The following is a 24,246-nucleotide window of genomic DNA, read 5'->3' as shown; positions in this document are numbered from 1 at the left end:
ACTCGCTCACCTGACCAGAAATTCCCACCCAGCCTCTCTGGGTGACGGCATCAGCTGTGGAAGAAGACGAGCAGTCTGGCGGGATCCACGGGCCCTGCATCCTCCAGCCAGGGGTTACTGTTGGGGAGGGAGATACATGCTGCAACAATGAGAATGGAAAACATGGCGGGGCTGGGGAGCTCAAAGGGCTTAAGATGCAGTTACTGTGATGGGATTGGTAGAGGGGACAGCATTCTCATTGAGAGCTTGCGTGAGAAATAACCTGGGGTCTTGGGTTTCAGGAGAAATCTCGGGTTTCCTGGCTGGGTCCCTGTTGTTTCCTTCTGCTTAGAATGCTTTTCCTCCTAACGCCACACCTCCTTCACGTCTTCATTCCAGTGTCCTCTTGGCCCAATCTGTTTAATACTGTAGCCAGCACTGTCCAGCCCCTAGCCCCATGCCCTGTTGTTGTTTTCTTCTTTCCGGTGGAAGTTACTGCCTTCTAACAAACTACATAATTGACTGAAGTGTCTTATTTTTGTATGTCCCTCCCCTAGAATGTAAGCTCAACATAGGCAGGGATCTTTTTGTTTTGCTTACTGTTGTATGCCAAGAGCCTGGGACAGTGCTGGCCATGGGAAGTTCTCAGTAAACAACTGTAGAATAAGTCAGTGTTCCCAGCCCCTTGGCTCCAAAGCTGCCCATAGGCTCTCCCATACGTGCCCTCTCCCTTTCCCTGCCTTACAATCTTCTCTCATCCGAAACAGGCACTGGGTCCCAGCAGAGGGTCCAAGGGAAGCACCAGGTCCTGCTAGAGGACCCTGAGCAGGAGGGCAGTGCAGAGGAAGAGGAACTGGGTGTCCTGCCTTGCCCTTCCACATCCCTGGATGGAGAGAACAGGGGCATCAGGACAAGGAACCCCATCCACTTGGCCTTCCCAGGCCCTCTGTTCATGGAAGGGCTCGCTGACTCCGCTCTGGAAGATGGTGAGTGCTTCAAGGCCCTGCCGTCAGCCCCTGGTCCCCAGTCGCACACCCAGTGTGAACTGGCAGGCGCCTGCACCCTCCACCTTCCCGAAGGCTCTTCCTGGTGTGCTTGAGGAGAGATGGATGCGGAGACAGATGTCATTCCCCACCCAACCCCCACCAGCTAGTTGGCCAGAGCCCTCCAGCTTCACCTGTGCCTGAGGTCACCACCTTGGGGTCAGTGGGGCAGTACAACGATCCTTCTGGCGTGGTGTGCAGTCCCATGCTGGGAAGACATCACCCTGTTTCCCCTCCAGTGGAGAACCTGCGACATCTGATCCTGTGGAGCCTGCTGCCAGGTCACACCATGGAAACTCAGGCTGCCCAGGAGCCCGAGGACGACCTGACACCCACACCTTCTGTCATCAGCGTCACCTCTCACCCCTGGGACCCAGGCTCCCCAGGGCAAGCACCCCCTGGGGGTGAAGGGGACAACACCCAGCTTGCAGGGCTGGAGGGGGAACGGCCAGAGCAGGAAGACATGGGTCTCTGTTCTCTGGAACACCTACCCCCAAGGACCAGAAATTCTGGGATATGGGAGTCTCCAGAACTGGACAGGAATCTGGCTGAAGATGCTTCAAGCACAGAGGCAGCAGGAGGTTACAAAGTTGTGAGAAAAGGTAAAATAAATGGGAGTGTCCAGTGGGGAGACAAGCACCCTTGCTAGGTGAGATAAGTCTTCCGAACAGCTGCTTCCTTCCCTATACTCCCCCTGGGTACCGTGTGAGCAGAGACCTACGCTGGGTCCTGGAAGAAGGAGACAACGCCGATATCAGGCAGGCTTTGGAGTTGGACATTCGAGATTCAGAGCTTAGCTCTGCCACTTAATATCTGTGTGGCTTTAGACAAAATTCTGAATCATCTCTGAACTTTGTTTTATAGCACATAAGGACATTTCTTTCTGCCTGGCACAAACCAACTACCAGTACCAGTCTCTGTTAGTGCTCCTCACTGATCTCCTGTTCCCAGGGAAAAGAGCCACTCTTCTCAGGAGCCTCAGGCCGGGAAAGACAGGGCAGGTGCATGCAGCCCCTCACGCCAGGCAACAGCTCCAAGGGCAGTAGAGGTGGCAGCTGGGACTGGAAGGGGTGGAGGACAAAGCTGGGAAGACATTTGGCGAGTGAGGGATGTGGGGAGTGAACAAGGTGGCAGGGAGGGCACCCCGGGTTGGGAAACACCATGGACGGCCTTGAGACAAGAAAAGCCAAGACAAGCTCACAGGGAGGCCAATAGATGAGCCCAGGGAGGAAGGTCCCCACCCCGGGAAGAGTGGGCTGGTCTGAGAGGGTGGCAAGAAAAGTAGAACAAAGCCTGGGGCACACATGGGATGGGGTTCCACGCTAGTGGGCCTGCCCTCCCCTGGGATTCCACTCTGCCTCCCTTCCAGCAGCATTTTTCATTCCATCTGCCCAAGGGCCACCTGTCTCCTGGGTTTCTGGGAACTGACCTTCCTTCTCTGTCTCTCGGTGAATTGGTGGAAAGTTCTCTGCACTGCCTGGGATGTCATCGTGTATGATCTTGTGTTCACCTTGTTCTTCCCATTTTCTCCTCCCCCTGTCCCCACCTCCTGCCCTCTCTCCTTCCTGTTCTCTCTCCCTTCCCTTTCCTTGTGTTTTGGTCTCTCCTCTTCCTGGTGGTGGTGGTGTCGGTGCAGCTGAGGTGGCAGGCAGCAAGGTTGTCCCTGCACTACCAGAGAGTGGCCAGTCAGAGCCTGGGCCACCTGAAGTGGAAGGCGGAACAAAGGCTACGGGTAATAACTTTCTCCTTGGAGCTAAAGACAGGCCAAGACTGGAGTGTGGAACCTGTGAGGGCAGAGTCGGACCCCTGCCCATGGTCACACACACACCCACAAGCTCCCTCAGCTGCCTGGAATGGGGAGGAGGAAGATCTGGCTCTAAAGACGGGGAGATCTGGTTCTAAAGGCTGGCTGTCCATCCAGCCTTAAGAAGCCACCTGTCCAGGCTCCTGTTCAGAATGGCAGGGATAAATGCCTGTGTGCAATTGTGGGAGGGGCAGGGAAGCCTGGCCTGGGGGTGGGGACCTAGTGTCCTTCACCTGATATGCAAGCAGCCACTTCCCCACCTCAGCCGCCGCTCCAGTGTCACTGTGGAAATCGGCTGAAAGAGCCTCCCAGATTCCGCGGTGGTTCTCTGTGCTTCCTGCCTGTCAGGAACCCTCCACGTCCTTCCTCCAGCTCTCTCTGACACCCCTTGGTTGGGTCAAGGGACCTCCAGAGGATCGTGGCATGGATGGAAGAGGGGCAGGGCAGGGCTGTAGTTCATCCAGAGCTGGAGTCAGGCAGGGCAAGAGGGCTGCTGCCTGCTCCTTTCAGAAGAGCCTGAAACCAGCTCACAATCTGTTTACTCAAGGAGGGGGAGCCACTCCAATTTCCCCAAATGAAACACTGCAGCTCTGCCACTTCTCCCTTGAGTTCATCGCTCAGCATCTCCCCCAGCTTGGGGCCAGACTGAGCAAGTGTCATCTAGAAGGTCTCGGGAGCAGGGCTTTTAGGGGGCTGGCAGACAGTGAGCAAGGCCCACGTTCTCTGAGTTTGTCTGGAGAGGACTGCCTGGCCTGCTCTGTCAGGTGGCTGGGGAATCCCACAGGAACGGGAGGATAGCTTCGACTTCTCTGTTTGCCTCCTGATCTCATTCTCTTACTGTGGGGACAGGGAACTGCTTTTATGTCAGCATGCCATCAGGACCCCCGGACTCAAGCACCGACCACTCAGAGGCACCCATGAGCCCCCCTCAGCCTGACAGCCTCCCTGCAGGGCAGACAGAGCCTCAGCCTCAGCTGCAGGGAGGCAACGATGATCCAAGACGCCCCAGCCGCTCTCCTCCAAGCCTGGCCCTCAGGGACGTGGGCATGATCTTCCATACCATTGAGCAGCTCACTCTCAAGCTCAACAGGCTCAAGGTGAGGGAAGCAGGGCTTGGGTCCCTGCAGGCCTTCAGTCCATCACCCCAAAACCATTCCCCATGAGTGAGATGTGTGTCTTCGCGGGAGCCCTAGATCCTGTCCTGGCCCAGGGATCTTCCCCCAGCCCGCCCAGCCACCCTTAAATCACACCCTCCTCCCCAAGGCCCAGCACAGACCCCTTCCCCAGGGGCCTTAGGAATAGAAGGACTCGAGCAGACATTCCCCCGCCGACTCTTCCAGGATATGGAGCTGGCCCACAGAGAGCTGCTCAAGTCCCTTGGGGGAGAGTCATCTGGTGGCACCACGCCTGTGGGCAGTTTCCACACAGAAGCAGCTAGATGGACAGATGGCTCCCTCTCACCTCCCGCTAAGGAGCCCCTAGCTTCTGACTCCAGGAACAGCCATGAACTGGGGCCCTGCCCTGAGGATGGTGAGTGAAGCCAGGTCCCTCTCGGTTCCTACCATTGGGGGAGAAGTCTGCCAACTCGTGAGGACACATCACTAAGCAGTGAGAGATGGTGGTTCTGAGAGTGGTTTCCCCTTGAGTGAAACGAGTTCATTCTCTCAGCTTCAGAGAGGGATCTTTTTAGGGAAGTCCCACAGAAGCTCCCTGGCAAAATGGGGAGCTTAGCACTGAGCCCTCTTTTTCCTTGTGCTATGGAGGTAACAAACCAGGAGGAGCCTGTTCTCACCTCTAAGACTTGTTCTTTTTTTAATTTTATATATATATATATATATATATATATATTTTTTTTTTTTTTTTTTCTATTTATTTGAGACAAGGGCTGGCCTGGCTATGTTGCCCAGGCTGGTCTCAAACTCCTGGGCCGAAGTGATCCACCCACCTCAGCCTCCAAAGCAGCTGGGATTGCAGGTGCACACCATGGTGTCGGCCTAAGACTCGTGCTGATTAAATGATTCAGAACCACACTGGGTGGGCCAGGGACACAGCTATGTCATAACTCAGGAAGACAAGGCACATACCTACCTGACCTAAGGGCTTTAGGCGCTGATGAAAGTGGAGTTCAGTAGACAGCCCTTTTCAAGCCCTACGAGAAACTGGGGTTTCTGGAGGAGAAGGAAGGTGATGAAGGATCTGTTCTCGTGAGCCTGAACTTTCTAGACAAAACATGTGGAAGCGGTCACCTCAGGCTGGCCAGTTCCTCACCTTCATCCTCCTCCCACAGGCTCTGACGCCCCCCTGGAAGACAGCACAGCAGACGCAGCCGCGTCACCAGGACCATAACCGTACAAACCACCAAATCCTCTGCGTCCCCACTCCTCCTTCAGGGACTGGCCTGAGACCGGGGCACAGGGTAGGGGGGATCCCAACACTCCTCCCTGTGGAGGAGGCAGTTAGGGAAACTAGGATCCAGCCAAGGCCCGGGGGGAGACCCGCATGTTGCTTGGTCTGCTCAAGTCGGAGTCAGGTTTCAGTGTCTTTTCCCTCCCTTAGCCCAACCCTCCAAGGCCTCATGTCTCCTAAGCATGCTGACTGCATCCGAAAGGCCCCCACTCACCATGGTCTGCCCTCACCCCACATATGTGTGTACACGCGCACGCCTGTATGTGCGCTGCCCTCAGACATGCAAGTGAAAGGAGGAGGCTTCTGTGTAAATGCACTTTCTTCCTCCCCTCTTTCTCCATAAGACCCCAGGCAGAGGTGGGTGCCTCCCCTCCCCTCTTTGTCACTTTGGTTTCCTATAAATATGTATGTATCGTATGTGCATCTTTGCTATTGTAAATAACTTTGACCTTTTTTGTTCCTGTTCCTGAAGTGCTGGAGGCAGTTATGGAAGGAGCTGCTTAGGGAAGAGGGGTTTCACTTGTATCTCCTTAGTTAACAACCCAGTTCCAGGATCGAGCCTAAAGCGGGAGCCAGGCCTGAGTGTTCCTGTCCCTGTGAGTGGGAAGGTCTTCTGGCTCCCCATCCCACCTGGCTCCAGAGCCTGCCCTCCACAGCTTGCTGCCAAGCTACTCCCTCCCTCCCTGGACTTCTCATCTTCACAAGATGGGGATCATGGGGGTTTCTTACCCCACCTATGTCCCCCTCTTCCCCACCCTGTCCCTGTAGAAAACCAGTGAAGCAGGTACGGAGCTGAGGACTGGGCCCCAGGAGGTGGGGACAGGGGTCTGAATGCCGAGTCCCTGAATTCACCCAGGACCATCCAAGGGGCCACCGCAGCATTGGCCCCATCACCACGTCCTCACCCAACTCTCCCTGATGAATAGAATATACACACTGTGCTAGGTGTATATATACATATATATATATATAAATATATATATAATATATAAAATATAGATATGGAAATGACTGTTCTGCTGTTAAGATAATGTATACTCTTTTATTTTCTTCCTTTCATGGTTAAGATTTTTTTTTTAAGAAAAGTTAAATATCCTTCAGTGGTGGTGTGTGTGTTTCTTGGAATCGCTGTGATAAAAGGTACGGTGTTTGTTCCCTGTAAGACTGGTTAGGATTGGATAGTGGGAACCAGAGGGAGCCCTCTCACCCCCAGACCCAGATCTTGCCTGTTCCCTCCCAGAGCTTCAGCTGTGCACTCACTGAACTAGGGACTGGGCAAACTTAAGTTGTACAACCCCCATGGAGAAAACATGACAAGACACTGAACTCAGTTACACACACACAGATATATATATAGATACATATATATACACACATATATAGATATACACACACACACACATATATATACACATATATGTGTATATAAAGGAGCAGTGGACCCAGAGTCAAGAGGTCTCATGAGCTGCCCTCAATGAGCTTGAAGACTTTAAAAGCCAAATCTAAGTGGGAGGGTTGCCTCAGGCCTGGCCAGTTCATCACTGTCATCATCCATCCACATCCTCCCACAGACGCAGCCACATCACCAAGACTGTAACCATTCACCTCTGTCTCCTGGCATTCAGTGTTGGATTAAAGTGACAAATTCTGTCTCTTCCAGCCCAACCCTGACTCCTCTACCTCTCACAATCCTCAGCTGTGTCCTCATTAGGGTACAGTCTATTTGGGCATCAGAATTGATACAGGAGTCATTAGTGATGAAGGGTGGGATAAAGATATGGGCTGAAAGGGTCACTGAAGCTCTGGAGGACATGGCAAGTTTCCCTGCAGAAGCTGGGGTGACCATCATCCAGCACCTCAATGTGTTCAGTGTTGGGAATTCAAAGAAATGATAGGTTTTCCCTGGTGAAGCTGGCTCCACAGCCAGCTGCAGAGACAGAGCTGGGACAGTCAGACTAGGAGGGCTCCAGGCACTCAGAGGCAGGAGACAGGCCTAGGTGCCACTGAGCCACACAAAGTAAGACAGCAGGACAAGGGAATTCTAGGTAGGCAGAGGCAGTGGGATGAGGGAAGTAGGACTAGAGAATGTGGAACAGGTTGAATCTGCTTAGAAGTGAGGAAGAAAGGCTGGTCTTTGCTGATCTGCGCCATCTTGGACACTGCTGTATAGGTTTACAGGTAGGCTCCCCGAAGCCAGTCCTGTGCTCTCTGGGCACTGGCAGGTGACCTCAATGGAGGCAGCACTGAAGGGTAAAGGTTTGGGGACCCTGACTCAGCTCAGGAACCTCTGGTTTCAGATTGCTGACTTCTGCAGGCAGGTTATTAGGGTTCATGTTCAATGCTTAGCCTTTGCTATGTAGATGTTGAGCGTTTAGCACCCTCTCCAAAGTGGCCTGCCAAGCCTTTGTTCATTTTCTTAAGCTGAACCCTTACCTCTCCTCCAAAGCAGTCAAACACCTGGGCCAGCCAGACGGGGAAGCAGAAGGGAGCGGGCATGGAGCCTGTGCTTAATTCCTCTGCTTCACCTACTCCTGCTCCCACTCCCTCCCAAGCTTATGTGTGTCAGTTACTAATCCCTATCCCAAATCCTTCTGAATGCAAACCCTGGCATAATGCATGTCCCCTAGGGAACACGGTGGGGGAATGGCTATTGCCTGAGCAAGGAAGAACTAGCCCCCAGGAGGCAGAACGGCAATGCCCCTGGCTAACTGAGGCCAGAGGAGCTGAGATCATCCCCAGCGGAACTGTAATTCAGACCACTTTTCTGCCATTCCTGGCATGTAACATGGACAGACGCAAAATCTAAATGTTCCAAGTAGTTCTGGAAGAAAGTTTTCAGACGACCTCAAGGAAAAGTATAGCAACAGACTTTGTTATTGGTCTGAGATCTCCCCCAGGGAGGTCACCCCACACAGGGACAGGAGGTGCTTCTGTAGCCCCGAGTCTTAGAGGCAAGCAGGTGGGAGGGGGCTAGGGGAAGAATGCCATGGCCTCATCCTCCCTGAGTTTGGCCTTGATGGGATCCCTTGGCAACATCAGCTCCTGGATTATGGCGTACGCAGGACATTGTGGGGCGAAGCAATTTTTCTGAAAAGAAAAGGAAGGCTGACATCTGACAAGAGGAATGAAGATTAGTCCTCTGGCAGAAAAAAAAAAATGGTCCTGGGGCAGGGTGGGTTAGGGGCTGGGGGACATGCAGAAAAAGCAGAGTGATTAATACTGCTGATTTTCCAGCAAGAGGAATGGAGGTTATGTTGTGATTATTAAAAAGAAGCAGAGAAACTACAGACCTTCCTTGGAAATGGGGAGACAGAAGCTGCCTGCAGCAGCTGTCTAGTATGACAGCTGATAGGGGCAACGTCTGCTTCAGCAGGAGAGAGTGAAAGGGACTCACAGCCAGGGACAGCCACAGCAGCCCCACTGGACCCTTGGATGCACTCTTGGCCTTGGAGAACTGCATCTGATACTGCACCGTGGCGAGGAAGCCCTCCAGCCCCACCTCTGTGATGCGGTTCCCTGGTGGAAGTTACAGACAGGTGGCCTCTTAGCACCACAGGCCTCATTGGCACCTGACACACCAGACATCCCCAGCATCCCAGTTCCTCCAGCTCCCCACTCCAGACTCACTGGCCCAGGCACACCTTTCCCTGACCTAGCCCTTCACTCAGCTCTTACTCACACACTCCCCATCTCTCTAACTCCTCTCATTACTCCAATCGCCTGTCCTCAGCCTCCTCCCAGACTCAGCACTTCCTCTGGCCCCTCCAGCCCTGTGCCAGAGAGCCTTGGGGGACATGTAGCCCAAAGATGGGAGGACCAGCTCTGCTCCATAGAGTCGGGGTAAACACCCTCAGGCAGGACAGGGCCCGGGTAGCCTCATGACAGGAGGACAGGGGAGGTTGGCAGACATACGGATGAGGTTGAGGTGCAAAAGGACCTTGTTCCCAGGCATGAAAACTTTCCCATCTCGGTGCTCCACAGGCTCCAGGAGAGGGTTGACCACCTCAGTAGCCTCAACAACCAGCTGCTAAAGCAGAATACTAATTGCAGCAGACAGCAGGGGAGCTGGTCAACAGGCCATTCATTCATTCATTCATTCAACATACATGTTTTGACTGCCGGCTATAGTCCAGGCTTTGTCCCAAGTGCTGGGGATACAAAAATAAATAAGCCCATACCCTCAAGAAGCTCCTTTGTGTGGAGGAGCCAGAAAGTGAAAGTAACGTGGTCTGGAGTGAGCGCTGACAGAGGCAAGCTCAGAGCACTGTGGGAGCACGGAAAAGGCCAGGCCAGGAAGGGCCTCCTGTGAACGCACATGATATTGTCAGATGAAGACGGGAAAGGTGTTCTAGGCAAAGAAAGCAGGTGCAAAGGCTCTGGAAGCGTGAAACAGTATGTCGCATTCAGATTTTACTAAGTGTTTCCCAACACCTAGAGCAATGAGGAGAATGGATTGGAGGGAAGTAACAATGACGGCATGATGAAAAGAAATTGCAGTAGTCCTAGTACAATCAGCAGCCTGATCAAGACAGAGGCAGAGATGAAAAATGGAAACTGAAAGGCAACCCCAATCTCTTCCTCCCTCTGAACGTCCTCTTTTGTAAGATTTTGTCTTGAGTGCCAGAGAAGACTCCTGAAAGGAGAGGGGCCCTTCCCTGCCTAGGGTGTGCAGGGAGTCTTCCAATGGAAGAGAAAAATAAAGAGAGGCGGATGCTCAGGCAGCTGACAGAACGGAGGGATGAGGGACCATAAGAGCACTGAAGGCAGCCCAGGAAGATTTCCAATGCAAGCAGCAAGTTGGTCCAGGTTGTAAGGGGGCAGAGAAGATCCAGGGGCAAAAGAGAGAGGGTCTGAAGAAGGACCCATGCACAGGGTAGCGTGGGGCAGTGCCATGACCATAAAAATGCCCTGCCTTCCTCAGGGAGCTGCTGAGAGGGGCAAAAAAGAAGACGCATTGTTCCTATGCAACAGTCCAAGCAAGTGATGGAGGTGGTGATGAGGAACTGAGGGCCTCTGTGCCTCTGGGCCTCTGGGGAAGTAGCCTGGCTGAGTTGAGACAGCAGATCCAAAGTGTGGGCTACTAATAGACAAGGAAAAATAGAAGGGGTCTGCTCTTGTTATTCCCACAGAAGCCCAAGGTGAGATGGGAGGGGGTTTCAGGTGAGGTTGGGACAGGAGTGGAGGACAAATTTGAAGGCAAATGGCTGCTGCCACAGCATGGGGCTGGAGACCACATTCCAGGAGGGGCTGGGGTGAGACGTCTCAGGCAAGCCTGGAATCCCAGGGGTGTGCCCCCTGCCTCCACTCCTCCTGGCAACTTACCTCGGACTCCAGGAGGATGCTGCGCTTCTCTCTGCTCCCGATCTTGATCCCTTTTGCCCTGCTTGGCTTCTGTTCAGGGATGGTTACCTCTGGGGCCAGAAGAGGAGCCAGAATGCACAGTGCACACTTCTGATACCACCCAGGCTCCCTCCCCAGAGAAAACAGGCTGTGAGGCAAAGAGACCCCCCAACTTTGGGTTTGGGTGCAATAGAAATGGCTGGAGGGGGCTGGGCGCTGTAGCTCACACCTGTAATCCCAGCACTTTGGGAGGCCGAAGCAGGAGGATCTCCTGAGGTCAGGAGTTCGCAACCAGCCTGGCCAACATGGTGAAGCCCCATCTCTACTAAAAATACAAAAATTAGCTGGGCGTGGTGGCACGCACCTGTAATCCCAGCTACTGGGTAAGCTGGGGCAGGAGAACTGCTTGAACCCAGGAGACAGAGGTTGCAGTGAGCCAAGATTGCACCTCTGCACTCCAGCCTGGGCAACAGAGTGAGAATCCATCAAAAAAAAAAAAAGAGAGAGAAAGAAAGAAAGAAAAGAAAGAAAGAAAGAAAAAGAAAGAAAGAAAGAGAAAGAAAGAAAAAGAAAAGAAAAGAAAAAAGAAATGGCTGGAGGGGGCCCCAGCTAGGTGTATGGGTTCTTTGAAGACAGGGCCACAGAGCTCCAGCTCCAACAAAGGGAATGAGGACAGCAGTGGGTCAGGATGTCTGGGCTGGATGCGGCTCTCCACATCATCCCACTGTGAGAAGGAAATCAAGCCCAGAGGGGCATGGCGAGATGAGCTCCAGGCAGGCGCACCCAGGCCCAGAACAGCTTCCTGCACCCGGCCCGGCACTCTTCCCTCCTCCACACAGGAAGATGCCACCCAGGGGCACCCGCACTTACTCCCCTTGCCTGCCTTTGTGGCATCTTCCTTCTTAGGGGTTCCTTGTGTGGGTGACTGCCCAGACCCCAACTTCTCCTCTTTCTTGGCCAATTCCTGTGGAGAATGTGAGAAGAGAGGGGCAAGTCCCACCTCCGGAGGGGATGGGCAGTGGTGAGGGAAGGAGCCCAGGTTAGGACCCGGGGCCTTAGGGGGAACTTCAAAGGCCCATGTGGCCTTCTTCCCTCCACCACCTCTGTACATGATGGAAGCCCCCTCCCCTGTCCGTCCAGCACCCAGGATCTGTCCCATTGCACACCTACCCATGATTTCTCCTTTTTCTTGCCCAGGCCCTTAGGGGTTTTCATTGTCTGCGTCTTGTCTGTCTTGTCCACCAATGCACTATTGCTGATCCCTACCATCTGACTCTTCTCACGGTCCGTTTTGGAGTCCCCGTGTCGAGAGGAGGAGGGCTGTGCTCACAAATGGGAGGGAAGGGGGGAAGAAGCCAGAGCCCCTTCCTCAATGGGGGCATGAAAGGTAGCTATACCCATACTTGGGGAGCAGTCGAGCTGACAGCACCCTCCCACCCACCTCCCTGCCTAAATGCTAAAATAATTTGTATAGGACTCCTCTGGGGTGAGATGCTTTCGGGAAGAAATAGCAGAGGGACCTGGGTGGGGTGAGATGAAGGGTGAGGCAGGGTCTCAGACTTATATTGAGGGGGAAAAAATAACAGCTTTTATTGAGCTAAGTGCCAGGTGCTATTTTAACTGCATTGCAGGAATTGAGTCTTTAAATCCTCTCGACAGTCATGAAATAGGTACAACTATCCCCACTTACAGATGAGGAAACTAAGGCAAGGAGAAGTTAAGTAACACAGGCCAGGTGCAGTGGCTCACGCCTGTAATCCCAATACTTTAGGAGGCCGAGGTGGGCGGATCATTTGAGACCAGGAGTTCGAGACCAGCCTGGTCAACATAGCGAAACCCCATCTTACTAAAAAATACAAAAATTAGCTGGGCATGGTGGCACATACCTGAAATCTCAGCTACTCAGGAGGCTGAGGCAGAAAAATCGCTTGAACCCAGGAGGCAGAGACTGCAGTGAACCGAGATCACACCACTGCTCTCCAGCCCAGGTAACAGAGCCAGACTCCATCTCCCAAAAAAAAAAAAAAAAAAAAAAAGTAAGAAGAAGAAAGAAGAAAGGAAGAAGAAGAAGAAGAGGAAGAGGAAGAGGAGGAGGAGGAGGAAGAAGAGGAGGAGGAGGAAGAGGAAGAAGAGAAGAAGGAGAAGAAGAGGAGGAGGAAGAGGAAGAAGAAGAGGAGGAGGAGGAATAAGAGGAAGAAGAAGAAGAAGAAGAAGAAGAAGAAGAAGAAGAAGAAGAGGAAGAAGAAGAGAAAGAAAGAAGAAAGAAAAAAGAAAGAAGAAGAAGAAGTTGTTTAGTAACATGCCCAAGGTTACAAGCTGGGATATGGATGAGCCGGATTTCAGGTCCAGGTGGTCTCAATCTAGTGTCCTATCTCTGAACCAGTACACTCTACTGCCCATAGTGTGGTTCTGCAATTAGAGCCCCCCCAGCAGGGGCTTGGCAAAAGTCTGTGCAGAAATCGGAGGGAAAGACAGTCAGGACAGAGGGTGGAGATTAAACTGGATGGCCAGTTTGCTGAAAAGCAGCGGACTTGGGGAGTGGGCTCGAGGGTCAGAGGGGCTCTCGGCTGGTCCTGGGGCCTGGTAGCTCCTCACCGATCGCGAGCGCTCCTGTGTCCCTTTTTCCAGCAGGAGGCGTCGGCGCTCCACCACTTCGGTGTGTGTCAGCTCGAAGGCGCGCAGGACCTGAAGGAGGCGGGCGCTCAGCGGTCGGACGCCTGGGTAGTCAGGGTCGGCTCCCTCGGCCCGCCCACGCCCCTGCCCCACCTGATCGGCACACCCACCTCAGCCAGCTTCAGGGCGCCCTTGTCCTGGATGCGGTTGTGGGCCAGGGACAGCCAGAGCAGGGAACGGTTCAGCCGGAGGCCCTAAGAGGCGGGCAGGGACGCGTGAGCCGCCCAAGCCGCCCCTGCTCCCAGCAGGTCCCTCCCCGCCGTGCACTCACGTCCGCGATGTAGCCTGCGCCCTCGTCACCGATGTGGTTGAAACCCAGGTTGAGCGAGACGAGGGTCCGGTTGCAGCTGTGCAGCGTGGACAGCGCCTGGCCCAGGAGTTGCGCCCCGCGGTCGTCGATGTTATTGTTCCGCAGAGACAAGTGCGCAATCCTGGGGCAGCCGGAGGGAGAATGTGGGTCGCTGGAAAAGGTACAGGGCGTCCGCCGGAATATGGGAGACTTGAGCGCTTGAGGGGGCGGTCTGGTCTGAGGATGTAGGGGCAGAAATCGAGGGCCCTTGCCGAGATGGTAGGGGGACAAGGAAGGGCGGGGACTAAAAATGGCTTGGAATTTCGAGACAGGCCCAGAGAAAGGGGGTGAGGGCAGGGAGTCTCACGTGCTGTCCAAGGCCATGAGCTTGTGATAGGACTGCTCCGGCAGTGGGTTCCCCTCCAGAGACACCTTCCTGAGGGCAGGGGAGATCTGAGAACCAGAAGGTACCACTGAGGCCAGGTAAGGGAAGGGAACAGAGAGGAAGTGTGCGTCTCTGGGAAGCAGCTAGGAAGTAGAGTCAAAGGATTGCCCCCCCAATATAGGAAATATATGTGACAATTCCCCAGACTAAAAATTCACAGATGTGCCCATTGTGAAGGGACTGCTCCCCAAAGTTGGTGACCCATGGTAGGGTAGCCCCTAAGATGGCCTTCAGTGGTCCCCACCTCCTGGAACTCATGCCCCTGTGTCATTCCTTCCCCTTGAGTGTGGACTTCACATTAGAAGTGACTCACTTCTGGCCAGGCACAGTGGCTCACGCCTGTAATCCCAGCACTTTTTGAGGCCAAGGCGGGCAGATTGCCTGAGCTCAGGAGTTCGAGACCAGCCTGGGCAACAGGGTGAAACCCCGTCTTTACTAAAAATACAAAAAATTAGCGGGACATGGTGGCGTGCACCTGTAATCCCAGCTACTTGGGAGGCTGAGGCAGAAGAATCACTTGAATCCAGGAGGCGGAGGTTGCAGTGAGCCAAGATTGTGCCACTGCACTCTAGTCTGGGCGACATAGCAAGACTCTGTCTCCAAAAAAAAAAGAAGAGGTGGGGGGTGGGGTGGAGGGAAATAAGTGACTCACTTCTAATGAACAGAACATGGCAGAAGAGATGGGACAGCACCTCCAGGTTTAGGCTACAAAGGCGGTGGCTTCCGTCTTGAGTGCTCTCTGGCACTCTCTCAGCTGGCCAGCTGCCATGTGGTAAGGACACTCAGGCAGCCTGTGGAGAGGCCCAGGCAGCCACATAAGTGAGCCTGGAGGCAGATTCTCCACCACAGTTGATCCTTGAGGTAAGTGCAGCCACAGTCAGCAGCTGTACCGCAACCTCAAACCCTGAGCCAGAGCACTCAGCTAGCCCACCCCCAGGTCATCTCACAGCAGCTATGAGATCATAAATGTATGTCCTTTTAAGCCACTGAATCTTGGGGTTAATTTGTCACACAGCAAGAGATAACTACAACATGAGCCTCCACATGGCAGTTGCTTCTCTAACAGTGCTGTAAGAATGGAGGTCCTTTTCTAAGTCACAGCAAAAACTGAACTAATGGCTAGAAATGACGCTATGTAAAAATTTGCTCCCATGATTTCTTATTTTGTTCAACCTTTCAGCCTGCCTCGTCTGTCACATAAACTTGATTATTCAGTTTAAATTTGTTTATGTTGCTATGATTTACTTTTACACATTATTTACAGATGAATTCATATAGTTGTTTTCTGCTAGCTAATTCCCATGATGGAAGGAAATATGTTTCATGGTGTTTTACACAGAGTGCTGGGGACCCCCAGCTGAAGAAGACACAGTCCCTGCCCTCAAGGAGCATCCATGCCATCTACAGGAGGAAGACAGGCAAGCCACTGCATGGAGGGGTACCCCCCCGCCACCATGAAGCAAGAAGAGGCAGGGTGCTGTGGGAGCCTAGAGAAGGGGCAGGGCCAAATCAGCCTTGCCCCTTACACTCCCAACCACACCTGTAGTTACCCTGCCCCATGCCTTGCTCCTGCTCCTTCCCATACAAGTACACCCTTTCCCAATTCCCTCTCTGGCCTGCTCCTAGGCCTCCTTCAGCTCAGTACCACCTCCTCCAGGCAGTCTTCCAGGTCTTCCTGCCTCACATCCATAAAGTGGGTGGCACTTCTCTCTGCCCACTCCCTCCTCTGATGAACCAGTCCTCCATCACCAGTCTCCACATTGCCCTGCAGTATTTATTCTTGTGTCCTTTTCTCTCCCTCCCTGGACTGCGAGTTCCTGGAGGATAAGAACTGTTTCTTACCAGCCCCCAGTACAGGGCCAGAGCCCCAGGCAGCCAGGAAGGAGAGCGAGAACCTCTGGGGAGGGAGTGGAGGGTAATGAGACTAATGCAGGGGAGACAGGTTGAGCCCCTGAAGATCAGGCTCTTTGGGTGCTGGTGTGGGCAGAAAAGCGGACCTGGCTTCTTGTCTAATGGAGGTATCATGATCCAACAGACATTGCCTGCTTCTGCTTCCACAGGGATGCCAGGCAGGCCCACAGGAGCTGGGACCTGCCACTTCCATCCCCACACTGCTCCCCTCTGACCACCCGCCCAGCCAGGCTTCCCAGGCACAGGGGGCCTCCCAGTCTGCTGACCTGAGCGTGGATGAACAGAGAGGCAGGAGCTCGATGAAGGTGGTCAGGGTCTTATCGGTCAGCCCCACCTTCCACAAGCTGTCGTGGGCGGGAAGTGCAGAAACACAGAGCTAGAGCGCCCCCTCCTACTGGAAAACCCTCCCCACACCGTTCTCCCAGCGGTGCCCTTCCTCATCCCCCACCCCCGACCTCCCCACCGTCGCCAGGGTCTCCCATGCCCCTTGGTTCTCTCTCCCAAGCCACCAGGAGCCCCAACTCCCACTCTGGTCCCCCGCCCATCCCCTCAGTGCCTCTCACTTGATGGCCTGTAGCTGGGTAAGCGGGGGCAGACATTTAGAGAAGACACCCAGAATCCGTTCCTCAACCTTCCAACCTGCGGGCCAAGAGGAGGCAGGTGCCTCAGACCTGGGAGGCTCCAGGGGAGCGGGAGGGAGCTGGGGCGGGTGGGGGGAGCGGGGCTCACCGCGGATGTAGATTTCCTTCACTGACTTGCTGTCCTCCTGCTCCAGCTCCACCTGGATGGTGGGCCGGAAGAACACGTATTTGCTCTCCAGGCTATTGAGGCTGCAGGACCCCGACAGCCGCGGATCGTCTGGAAGGCAGAGGTGAGGAGGGAGGGGAACAGCCACCTCCAGGGCCCCACGCCGGGCCGGCCCACGGGTGCCCGGGTGGGATTGGAGGACACCGCCAGAGGGGAGGCGCCGGCCTGCGGACTCTGCCTCTCCGGCCACTCGCGCCTCTGCTGGGTTGGAAAGGAAGACGGGAGACTCCCCCACCTCCCCACCGGCCTCGTCGAATACCGCCGACTCACACACACACACCGCCCCGCGTCCCTCCATTTGGCCCGGCGTGGGAAGGGAGGCTGAGGATGGACTAGGCGGCCCTGGCAGGCACCGGGGAGCTCCACTGTCACTCACCTAAGGTGGCCTTTTCCGACAAAGAGGCGGAGGGGACGAAGGGCGGGTGGGGGCGGGGCCGGTTGACAACTTTGGGGAAGTCCGTGTAGCCCCACCGCGTGCAGAGCTCGGCGAAGTCGGTCTCGAGGACCCCGGAGCACTGGTACTCCTCTGCGGGGGCAGGCAGGGGCGTGAGAGAAGGGGCCACGCCCACCCCCGCATCCCCAAGCTCTCCCGCGCGGGCGGAGGGGCCCTCCTCAGACGGATATTTTTGCAGCCATTCAACTTGCAAACGCTTGGAAGTACGGACGCTGAAAACACTTGATAGGAAACGGGGAAAGCAAGAGCTCGGAGAAAGGGGACTAACGGGCGTGCGTGCACGGTAGACAACGGGGTCCCCTCTTCTGTGTGCTGGCTTCCCCACCCCCAGGTCAAAGCGACTGCCACCCCTGCTCTCCACTCCCAGCCCGGGCTTCCGCCTTTCCCAGGTGTCCCCAGCCCAGCCTCCTCCTCACAAGTCCTCCTTCCCTGCTGGAACTGCTCAGGGTCCCTGGGAGAAAGCGCAGGCCCGATGTGAGTTCCTTTCCACTCCCACTCCTTCCCTACACATACACCCAAGAGCAGCAGAACGATACTTTTATTTAACATTTCCCCTGTCCAGTGTGTTTATATGGCACTTCCTAGTGTCCAGTGCTGTTTGAAATGCTTTAGAAATATTAACTCATTTCTGAGTTATATTAATTCACACGCGCCCACCACATCCCAACCTGAGGGCTGTGCTATGCAAACTTGAGACTCTGAGTCTTCAAGGGACACTTGCTCTTTCTGGCTCCCCACCATAGGCATCCCAGGAAGAAGTGGCTCCTAGAGATAGGATGGGAGTCCCTGCCAAGTGCCGGACAGCCTGGAGCTCCACAGAACAGCACGCTGGCCACAGGGGCAGGTGCTGCAGGAGCTGTGCCAGGAGGGACACCTGCAGCTCAGCAGTAGGGAGCCTGCCTGAGGGAGTGGAGGAGCTGGCAGGATGCAGAGAGGCTCGAGGGTTCATGGGGAAAGGCATGAGAGGCATTTTCCTCCTGTGTCTGGCCATCAGTGGTAACCCAGGCACAGCCAAATGGGCGAAGCAGGTAAGAGAAGGCATAGGGAGGTTGCAGTGACCCCCTGGTCTGGCTGGCTCCTGCACACCTCCCTGCCCTCCCAAACTTCCCTCTGCTGGGAGAGCCCCTCATGCTTCCTTGCTTCACTCATACCTCCCTTCTCAAGAACAGAGATTCTCAAGTTTTAACATCTTAAAAATCACCTGGAGAGCCTGCTAAAACAATTTCCTGGGCCCTATCCTACAGAAATTCTGATTCTGTAGCCCAGGTGAGAGCCCTGATTTTGCATTTTTAGCAACTTCCCAGATGATGCTGAAGTTGCTGGTCCAAGGACAACACCTTGAGAAGCCCTGCTCTAAAAGAGCGCTGCCCTGTAGTACTTCATGCCTGGATGGAAATGGGCTCTCTGCACTTTAGCAGATAGTTACCTGTCACACAGCACAGCTCTTTTCCCCTTCCACACCCCTTTCTTATGCTCACTAATGATCTCACCTCGTAGCTTCTTCAGAAATAAAAGCCATTAGATAGGATTTCCTCTAAATCCCTACACCTTCCTATATCAGCCATCACTCTCTACCGGACACGAGCCCACATCTGCCCCTGCCACAGCACACAGTTGGTGTCTGCTAAGGCCACCATGACCTCCATGTTGTCCTATCCAGGTGCCTGTGCAGGCATCACTCCCATTCTCTCCTACCTCTCTGCTGGCTGCTCAGGTTTCCCTGCCATCCTCTACAACCTGTAAGGCTGGATCCTGAGCCCTCTCCTCTTCTCTAATTATACTCCCTGCCTCCTTGAGGGGTCTCTTTCATTGCCAGGACTTAATTATGCCAGAACATCAGCAGCTCCCAAAGTCACAACTTCACCCAAAGTCACAACTCCACCCCTAACCTCTCAGGCACTGCTGACCCATGTGTCCAGCTGTCCAGCTGGCATCACCCCTTAGAGCTCCTCCCTTACATGCACCTCCTTTGGCCTTTCCCATCTCCATGAATGGCACTTCCTCCCACCCAGTGCCCAGTCCAGAAGCCTCAGAATCTTTCTTGCTCTGTCACTCACTCCCTACCCTGTCCAGTCCTTCGCCAACTCTTATTACTTCTACCTCAAAAGTGTTTCTCTGAGGAGCCTAACTCAACCAAGCCTCACCATTCTCACTGCCCTATCCCAACTCCCACTGTCCCCAGACTAGGCTGTTGAAATAGTCCGGTAACTCATCTGTTTGCCTCCTTCCACCCTGTATTCTATACAGCAGCCATGTCTGTGTGTGTGTGTGTGTGTGTGTGTGTGTGTGTGTGTGTGTGTGTGTGTGTTTTGAATGTAACTGGCTTCGTACCTGTAGGGGATTGTATACTGTCTTGTCTTCCCTTCCAGAAGATGTTGTTTCTCCAGCTCCTATAATTCCTTCTCCCCATCCACCAGCACTGACAAAGAGATAGTACCTGGCTAATGCTGGATGATCAGATCTTTTTCCCAAGTTGTTTTACTTCGATTCCAGAGACAGCAAGTTCTTGTCCCCGTGATGACGAAGCTGGCAGATTTGTATCAAGAAGACTTCGGATACATTTCCCCTTCATGCTTAGTTTGATTGGGGTTCTATCACTTGCAACAAAAAGGGCCATACCTCTACTTATACCATTCTACTCATTTTCTTTTCCCAGAGGATGTAAACCCCATGGGGGCAGGACTGTGTCCACCTCGTTCTCCTCCGTGACATATCTGGCCTCATGGCTGGCATTTGGAAAGTAATTGTTGAATCAATGAATGAACATCTGTAAACTCTGTTCAAAGGCACCTCCTGGCAACACCCCTGATGCCCTCACCCCCTGGGCCTTCCTCTCTTCTATATCTTATCACATCTTATTGGTATTTGTCACCATCCCAAACCAGAGTGTGGGTTCTTTAAGATCAAGTTCAATTGAAACATCTATCAAGCCGAGATTCAGGAACTCAACGTAGGTATGTATGAGTTCAGCCATAACCTTGGAGCAGTGAGTAGCTAGTGGGAACCCGGGAAGACGCAGCCTGGAAGCCCGATCCCCAAACCCCGGCGCCAGCGTACCAGGGCTTTTGGGCTCCTCCTCCCCCACGGGAGGCAGAACGGTCGCTGGCTTCTCTTTGGCCGCGCGCTCTCCCTTTTTGGTCACCGCGCCAGAAGACTTCTGGGTCCCCGGACGCGGGGCCCTGGGTGAGGCCCCCGGCGCGCTCTGCTCGCTCGACATGCTGGTGTTGTCCGCAGCGTCTCTGGGACCTTCGTCGGGGCAGGAAGGTAAGAACGCACTCTACGGGGCTCAGTCTGGGGGTGGCTGAATCAGGGGATCTCTGTTCCGCGTCCAGGGACCGGATCCGACCCGTCCGCGGTGGCGTAGCCTACGCGTCCCTCTCCAAGACAACCGCGCGAGGCGGGCGGGCCCGAGGGAAAGGGGCAACCGCAGAGAGCACGCGGGGCCGACAGGGGGCGCCGCAGGGCAGAGCAAGGCGAGGGGAGAGCCCACGAGGGCGGGTGGCGGAGCCAGAACCCGAGGGGCGGGCCAGGCCCGGCGGAGCAGGCAGGGCGAGGCCGGCCAGAGATCGCAGGAGCTGATGGGTCCCAGAGGGCCAGGGCTGGCCGAGCCTGTGCTAAGAGAGAAGGGCTAGGGTGACCTAGGACCTGAGCGGAGCCATGGCGAAGGAAACGAGTGGATCTTAGGACGGGAGCGGGGACAGGGATAGGGCGAGGGCGGGCAATCCAAAGTCATCCTGGAACTGGGCCTGGGGGATCGGGGCGGAGCCTGGGGGAGTGGGGTAGTGGGCGGTCGGAGGATACTAGGGAGAATCCAGGTGGGGGCAGGTCCACTCTCCAGAGTCCACCCCGCTGTCCAGTAAGGAGAGAGCACCTGGTGAAAGGCGTCTAGAGAAACCCATCTAGTTGGTGTGGTGCTAGGTTTATATTCTCGACCTCCATCTGTTTAGCCTCCTGGAGGTCTCTGGGGACTCAGTTAATCCTCTAACGAGTTAATAAGGTGAATCACACTCCTTACAAACCTGGGATTCAAAGTCATCACCTGACTCCTACTCTAGACCCTGATGGTTCTGCCCTGGTGGGCCCCATTTGAGTAAAGGCATACCCCCAAAATTCTAAGGGTTGGGTTCCAGACTACTGCAATAAAGCTAATATGGCATTAAAGTGAGTCACACCGCTTTTGTTTTTCTCAGTGCCTGTAAAATTACGTTTACACTATACTGTAGTCTGTTAAGTGTGCAATAGCATTATGTCTAGAAATGCATATAACTTTTTTTTTTTTTTTTTTGAGACGGAGTCTCACTCTGTCGCCCAGGCTGGAGTGCGGTGGTATGATCTCAGCTTACTGCAACCTCTGCTTCCCAGGTTCGAGCGATTCTCCTGCCTCAGCCTCCTTAGTAGCTGGGATTACAGACGCACACCACCATGTCTGGCTAATTTTTGTATTTTTAGTAGAGACGAAGTTTCACCATGTTTGCCAGTCTAGTCTTGAACTCCTGACCTCAAGTGATCCTCTCACCTCGGCCTCCCAAAGTGCTGGGATTACAGGCATGAGCCACAGCGCCCAGCCCAATGCACATACCTTAATTTTAAAAATACTTTATTGCTAAAAATGTTACTATCATCTGAGCCTTTAGTGAGTCATAATCTTTTCACTGGTGCAGCGCCTTGCTTTGAGGTTGATGGCGGCTGACTGATCAGGGTGGTGGTTGCTGAAGGTTGCGGTGCCTGTAGCAATTTCTTAAAATAAGACAACAGTGAAGTTTGCCACATCGATTGACATCCTTTGACAAAAGATTTCTCAATAGCATGCAATGCTGTTTGATAGCATTTAACCCACTGTAGAACTTTTTTTCAAAATTGGAGTCAATTCTTCAAATCCTGCCACTGCTTTATCAACCAAGTTTATGGAATATTCTAAATCATTTCTTGTCATTTCAACAATGCTTACAGCGTCTTCACCAAGAGTAGATTCCATCTCATGAAACTGCTTTCTTTGCTCATCCATAAGCAACTCCTCATCCATTCAACTTTTATCATGAATTGCAGCAATTCAGTTTCATCTTCAGGCTCCACTTCTAATTCTAGTTCTCTTGCTATTTCTACCACATCTGCAGTTACTTCCTCCACTGAAGTCTTGAGCCCCTCCAAGTCATCCATGAGGGTTGGAGTCAACTTCTTCCAAACTCCTGTTAGCATGAATATTTTGACCTCCTCCCATCATGAATCACAAATGTTCTTAATGGCATTTAGAATGGTGAATCTTATCCAGGTTTTCAATTGAATTTGCCCAAATCCATCAGAGGAATCACTATGTATGGCAACTCATGCTTTACAAAATGTATTTCTTAAATAATCAGACTTGAAAGTCGAAATTACTCCTCAATCCACAGGCTGCAGAATGGATACTGTATTAGCAACCATGCAAACAACATTAATCTCCTTGTACATCTCCAGGTGCATTGTCAAGGAGCAATAATATTTTTAAAGGAATACTTTTTTCTGAGCAGTAGATCTCAATAGTGGGCTTAAAATATTCAGTAAACCATGCTGTAAACAGATGTGCTATCATCCAGACTTTGTTCCTTTTCCAGAGCACAGGGACACAGGCAGGGTAAAATTAGCATTCTTTTCTATTTATTTATCTATTTTGAGACAGATTCGTGCTTTGTCACCCAGGCTGGAGTGCAGTGGCACGATCTTGGCTCACTGTAACCTCCGCCTTCCAGGTTCAAGCAGTTCTCCTGCCTCAGCCTCTCCAGTAGCTGGGACTACAGGTGCGCGCCACCACACTTGGCTAATTTTTTTTGTATTTTTAGTGGAGATGGGGTTTCACCATGTTGGCCAGGCTGGTTTCGAACTCCTGACCTCAAGTGATCCTCCCCACTCAGCCTCCCAAAGTGCTGGGATTATAGGCGTAAGCCACCATGCCCGGCCTTTTTTTTTTTTTTCTTTTTAGAGACAGGATCTTGCTCTGTCGCCAAGGCTGGAGTCCAGTGATGATGATCATAGCTCACTACAGCCTTCTTCTTTTTTTTTTTTTTTTTGAGTCAGAGTTTCACACTTTCGCCCAGGCTGGAGTGCAGTGGCGCAATCTTGGCTCACTGCAAGCTCCTCCTCCTGGGTTCAATTGATTCTTCTGCCTCAGCCTCCCAGGTAGCTGGGACTACAGGCACCCGCCACCACACCCGGCTAATTTTTTGTACTTTTAGTACAGACAGGGTTTCACCGTGTTGGCCAGGATGGTCTCAATCTCCTGACCTCGTGATCTGCCCACCTTGGCCTCCCAAAGTGCTGGGATTACAGGCATGAGCCACCGCACCTGGCCTCACTACAGCCTTCTAACTGCTGGCCTTAAGCGAAACTCCCACCTCAGCCTCTCAAGTAGCTATGACTACAGGCATGTGCCACCACGCCACACTAAATAATCAACATAATTCTTAAGGGCCTGAGGATTTTTGGAATGGTAAATGAGCATTAGCTTCAACTTAAAGTTACCAACTATATTAGCCCCTAACACCTGTCCTTTGAAGCTCTGAAGCCAGACATTGACTTCTCTCTAGCTGTGAAAGTCCTAGATTGGCATCTTCCTCTAATATAGGCTGTTTTGTCTACATTGAAAATCTGTTGTTTAGAGGAGCCACCTTCATCGTTGTCTTAGCTATATCTTCTGGATAACTTACTGCAGCTTCTACATCAGCACTGGCTGTTTCATCTTGCACTTTTATGTTATGGAGATGGCTTCTTAAACTTCTTTCATTAAACTTCACGAACCAACCTCTGCTGGCTTCTAAATTTTCTGTAGCTTCATCACCTCTCTCAGCCTTCATAAAACTGAAGAGAGTTAGGGTCTTGCTGCAGATTAGGCTTTGGCTTTTAAGGAAATATTGTGGCTGATTTGATCTATCCAGACCACTAAAAGTTTCTTCATATCAGCAACAAGGCTGTTTCACTTTTTTTTTTTTTAATGGAGTCTTGCTCTATCACCCAGGCTGGAGTGCAATGGCATGATCTCCGCTCATGGCAAACTCCGCCTCCCGGGTTCAAACGATTCTCCTGCCTCAGCCTCCTGAGTAGGTGAGATTACATGTGCGCGCC

General features: G+C 53.1%; 2 protein-coding genes and 1 non-coding gene across 44 annotated transcripts in view, besides 1 other annotated feature; 2 read left to right on the top strand and 1 right to left on the bottom strand.

Annotated features, from left to right (window-relative positions):
• The window catches only part of ARHGEF11 (Rho guanine nucleotide exchange factor 11), a 112,064-nt gene extending 105,732 nt beyond the window's left edge, over positions 1 to 6,332 (top strand). For 21 of the 26 annotated variants that reach the window (XM_047435301.1, NM_001377418.1, NM_014784.4 and 18 more), the window contains 6 exons: positions 747 to 965; positions 1,262 to 1,624; positions 2,659 to 2,754; positions 3,676 to 3,923; positions 4,167 to 4,356; positions 5,114 to 6,332. In XM_047435301.1, the coding sequence (XP_047291257.1) occupies positions 747 to 965; positions 1,262 to 1,624; positions 2,659 to 2,754; positions 3,676 to 3,923; positions 4,167 to 4,356; positions 5,114 to 5,172 (1,175 nt within the window). In that variant the 3' untranslated portion in view covers positions 5,173 to 6,332. The remainder of the gene's footprint in view (positions 1 to 746; positions 966 to 1,261; positions 1,625 to 2,658; positions 2,755 to 3,675; positions 3,924 to 4,166; positions 4,357 to 5,113) is intronic. The other 5 variants (XM_047435294.1, XM_047435306.1, XM_047435300.1 and 2 more) reach the window with 1 other exon arrangement.
• Positions 99 to 20,540, bottom strand: LRRC71 (leucine rich repeat containing 71). Of its 17 annotated transcripts, none has more exons than XM_047447397.1 (16): positions 20,209 to 20,540; positions 19,483 to 19,748; positions 17,074 to 17,223; positions 16,620 to 16,748; positions 16,454 to 16,529; positions 16,157 to 16,234; positions 13,902 to 13,970; positions 13,517 to 13,676; positions 13,356 to 13,439; positions 13,168 to 13,257; positions 11,743 to 11,892; positions 11,443 to 11,536; positions 10,555 to 10,643; positions 9,145 to 9,259; positions 8,627 to 8,748; positions 8,078 to 8,319 (listed from the first exon to the last, which is right to left on the bottom strand). In XM_047447397.1, the coding sequence occupies exons 2-16, from the start codon at positions 19,559 to 19,561 to the stop codon at positions 8,203 to 8,205; spliced, it is 1,602 nt and encodes a 533-aa protein (XP_047303353.1). In that variant the 5' UTR covers positions 19,562 to 19,748; positions 20,209 to 20,540; the 3' UTR covers positions 8,078 to 8,202. The 17 variants fall into 17 exon arrangements, 16 of the variants coding, with proteins under 16 accessions (XP_016855948.1, XP_047303353.1, XP_006711248.1 ...); XM_006711185.4 differs by having other exon boundaries at positions 19,483 to 19,570; XM_005244926.4 differs by lacking the exon at positions 19,483 to 19,748.
• MIR765 (microRNA 765) lies at positions 4,928 to 5,041 on the top strand. Its single transcript, NR_030527.1, has one exon. It is a non-coding gene; the product is annotated as a microRNA 765 (primary transcript).
• Positions 13,192 to 13,251: a silencer, noted in NCBI's record as "silent region_1441". NCBI's record gives its function as "represses an Ori minimal core promoter by ATAC-STARR-seq in GM12878 lymphoblastoid cells {active_cell/tissue: GM12878}" and the evidence as "EXISTENCE:reporter gene assay evidence [ECO:0000049][PMID:35858748]".
• Positions 20,541 to 24,246: the final 3,706 nt, after the last annotated feature.

The sequence above is a fragment of the Homo sapiens genome, chromosome 1, assembly GCF_000001405.40.
Source record: "Homo sapiens chromosome 1, GRCh38.p14 Primary Assembly".
NCBI classification, from domain to species: Eukaryota; Metazoa; Chordata; class Mammalia; order Primates; family Hominidae; genus Homo; species Homo sapiens.
Note: the sequence above shows the minus strand (reverse complement) of the source record. Positions and strands in the feature narration are given on the sequence as shown.

Bases quoted from the DNA above. Each gene is read 5' to 3' on its own strand.
- LRRC71 (XM_005244926.4), bottom strand. From the start codon at position 20,368: ATGTCGAGCGAGCAGAGCGCGCCGGGGGCCTCACCCAGGGCCCCGCGT. The intron at 9,260-10,554 runs GTAAGTTGCCAG...ATTCTGCTTTAG, and splicing joins GCATCCTCCTGGAGTCCGAG to CAGCTGGTTGTTGAGGCTAC. The intron at 8,320-8,626 runs GTGAGTCCCTTT...TTTTCTTTTCAG, and splicing joins TGCTGTGGCTGTCCCTGGCT to AAAAATTGCTTCGCCCCACA.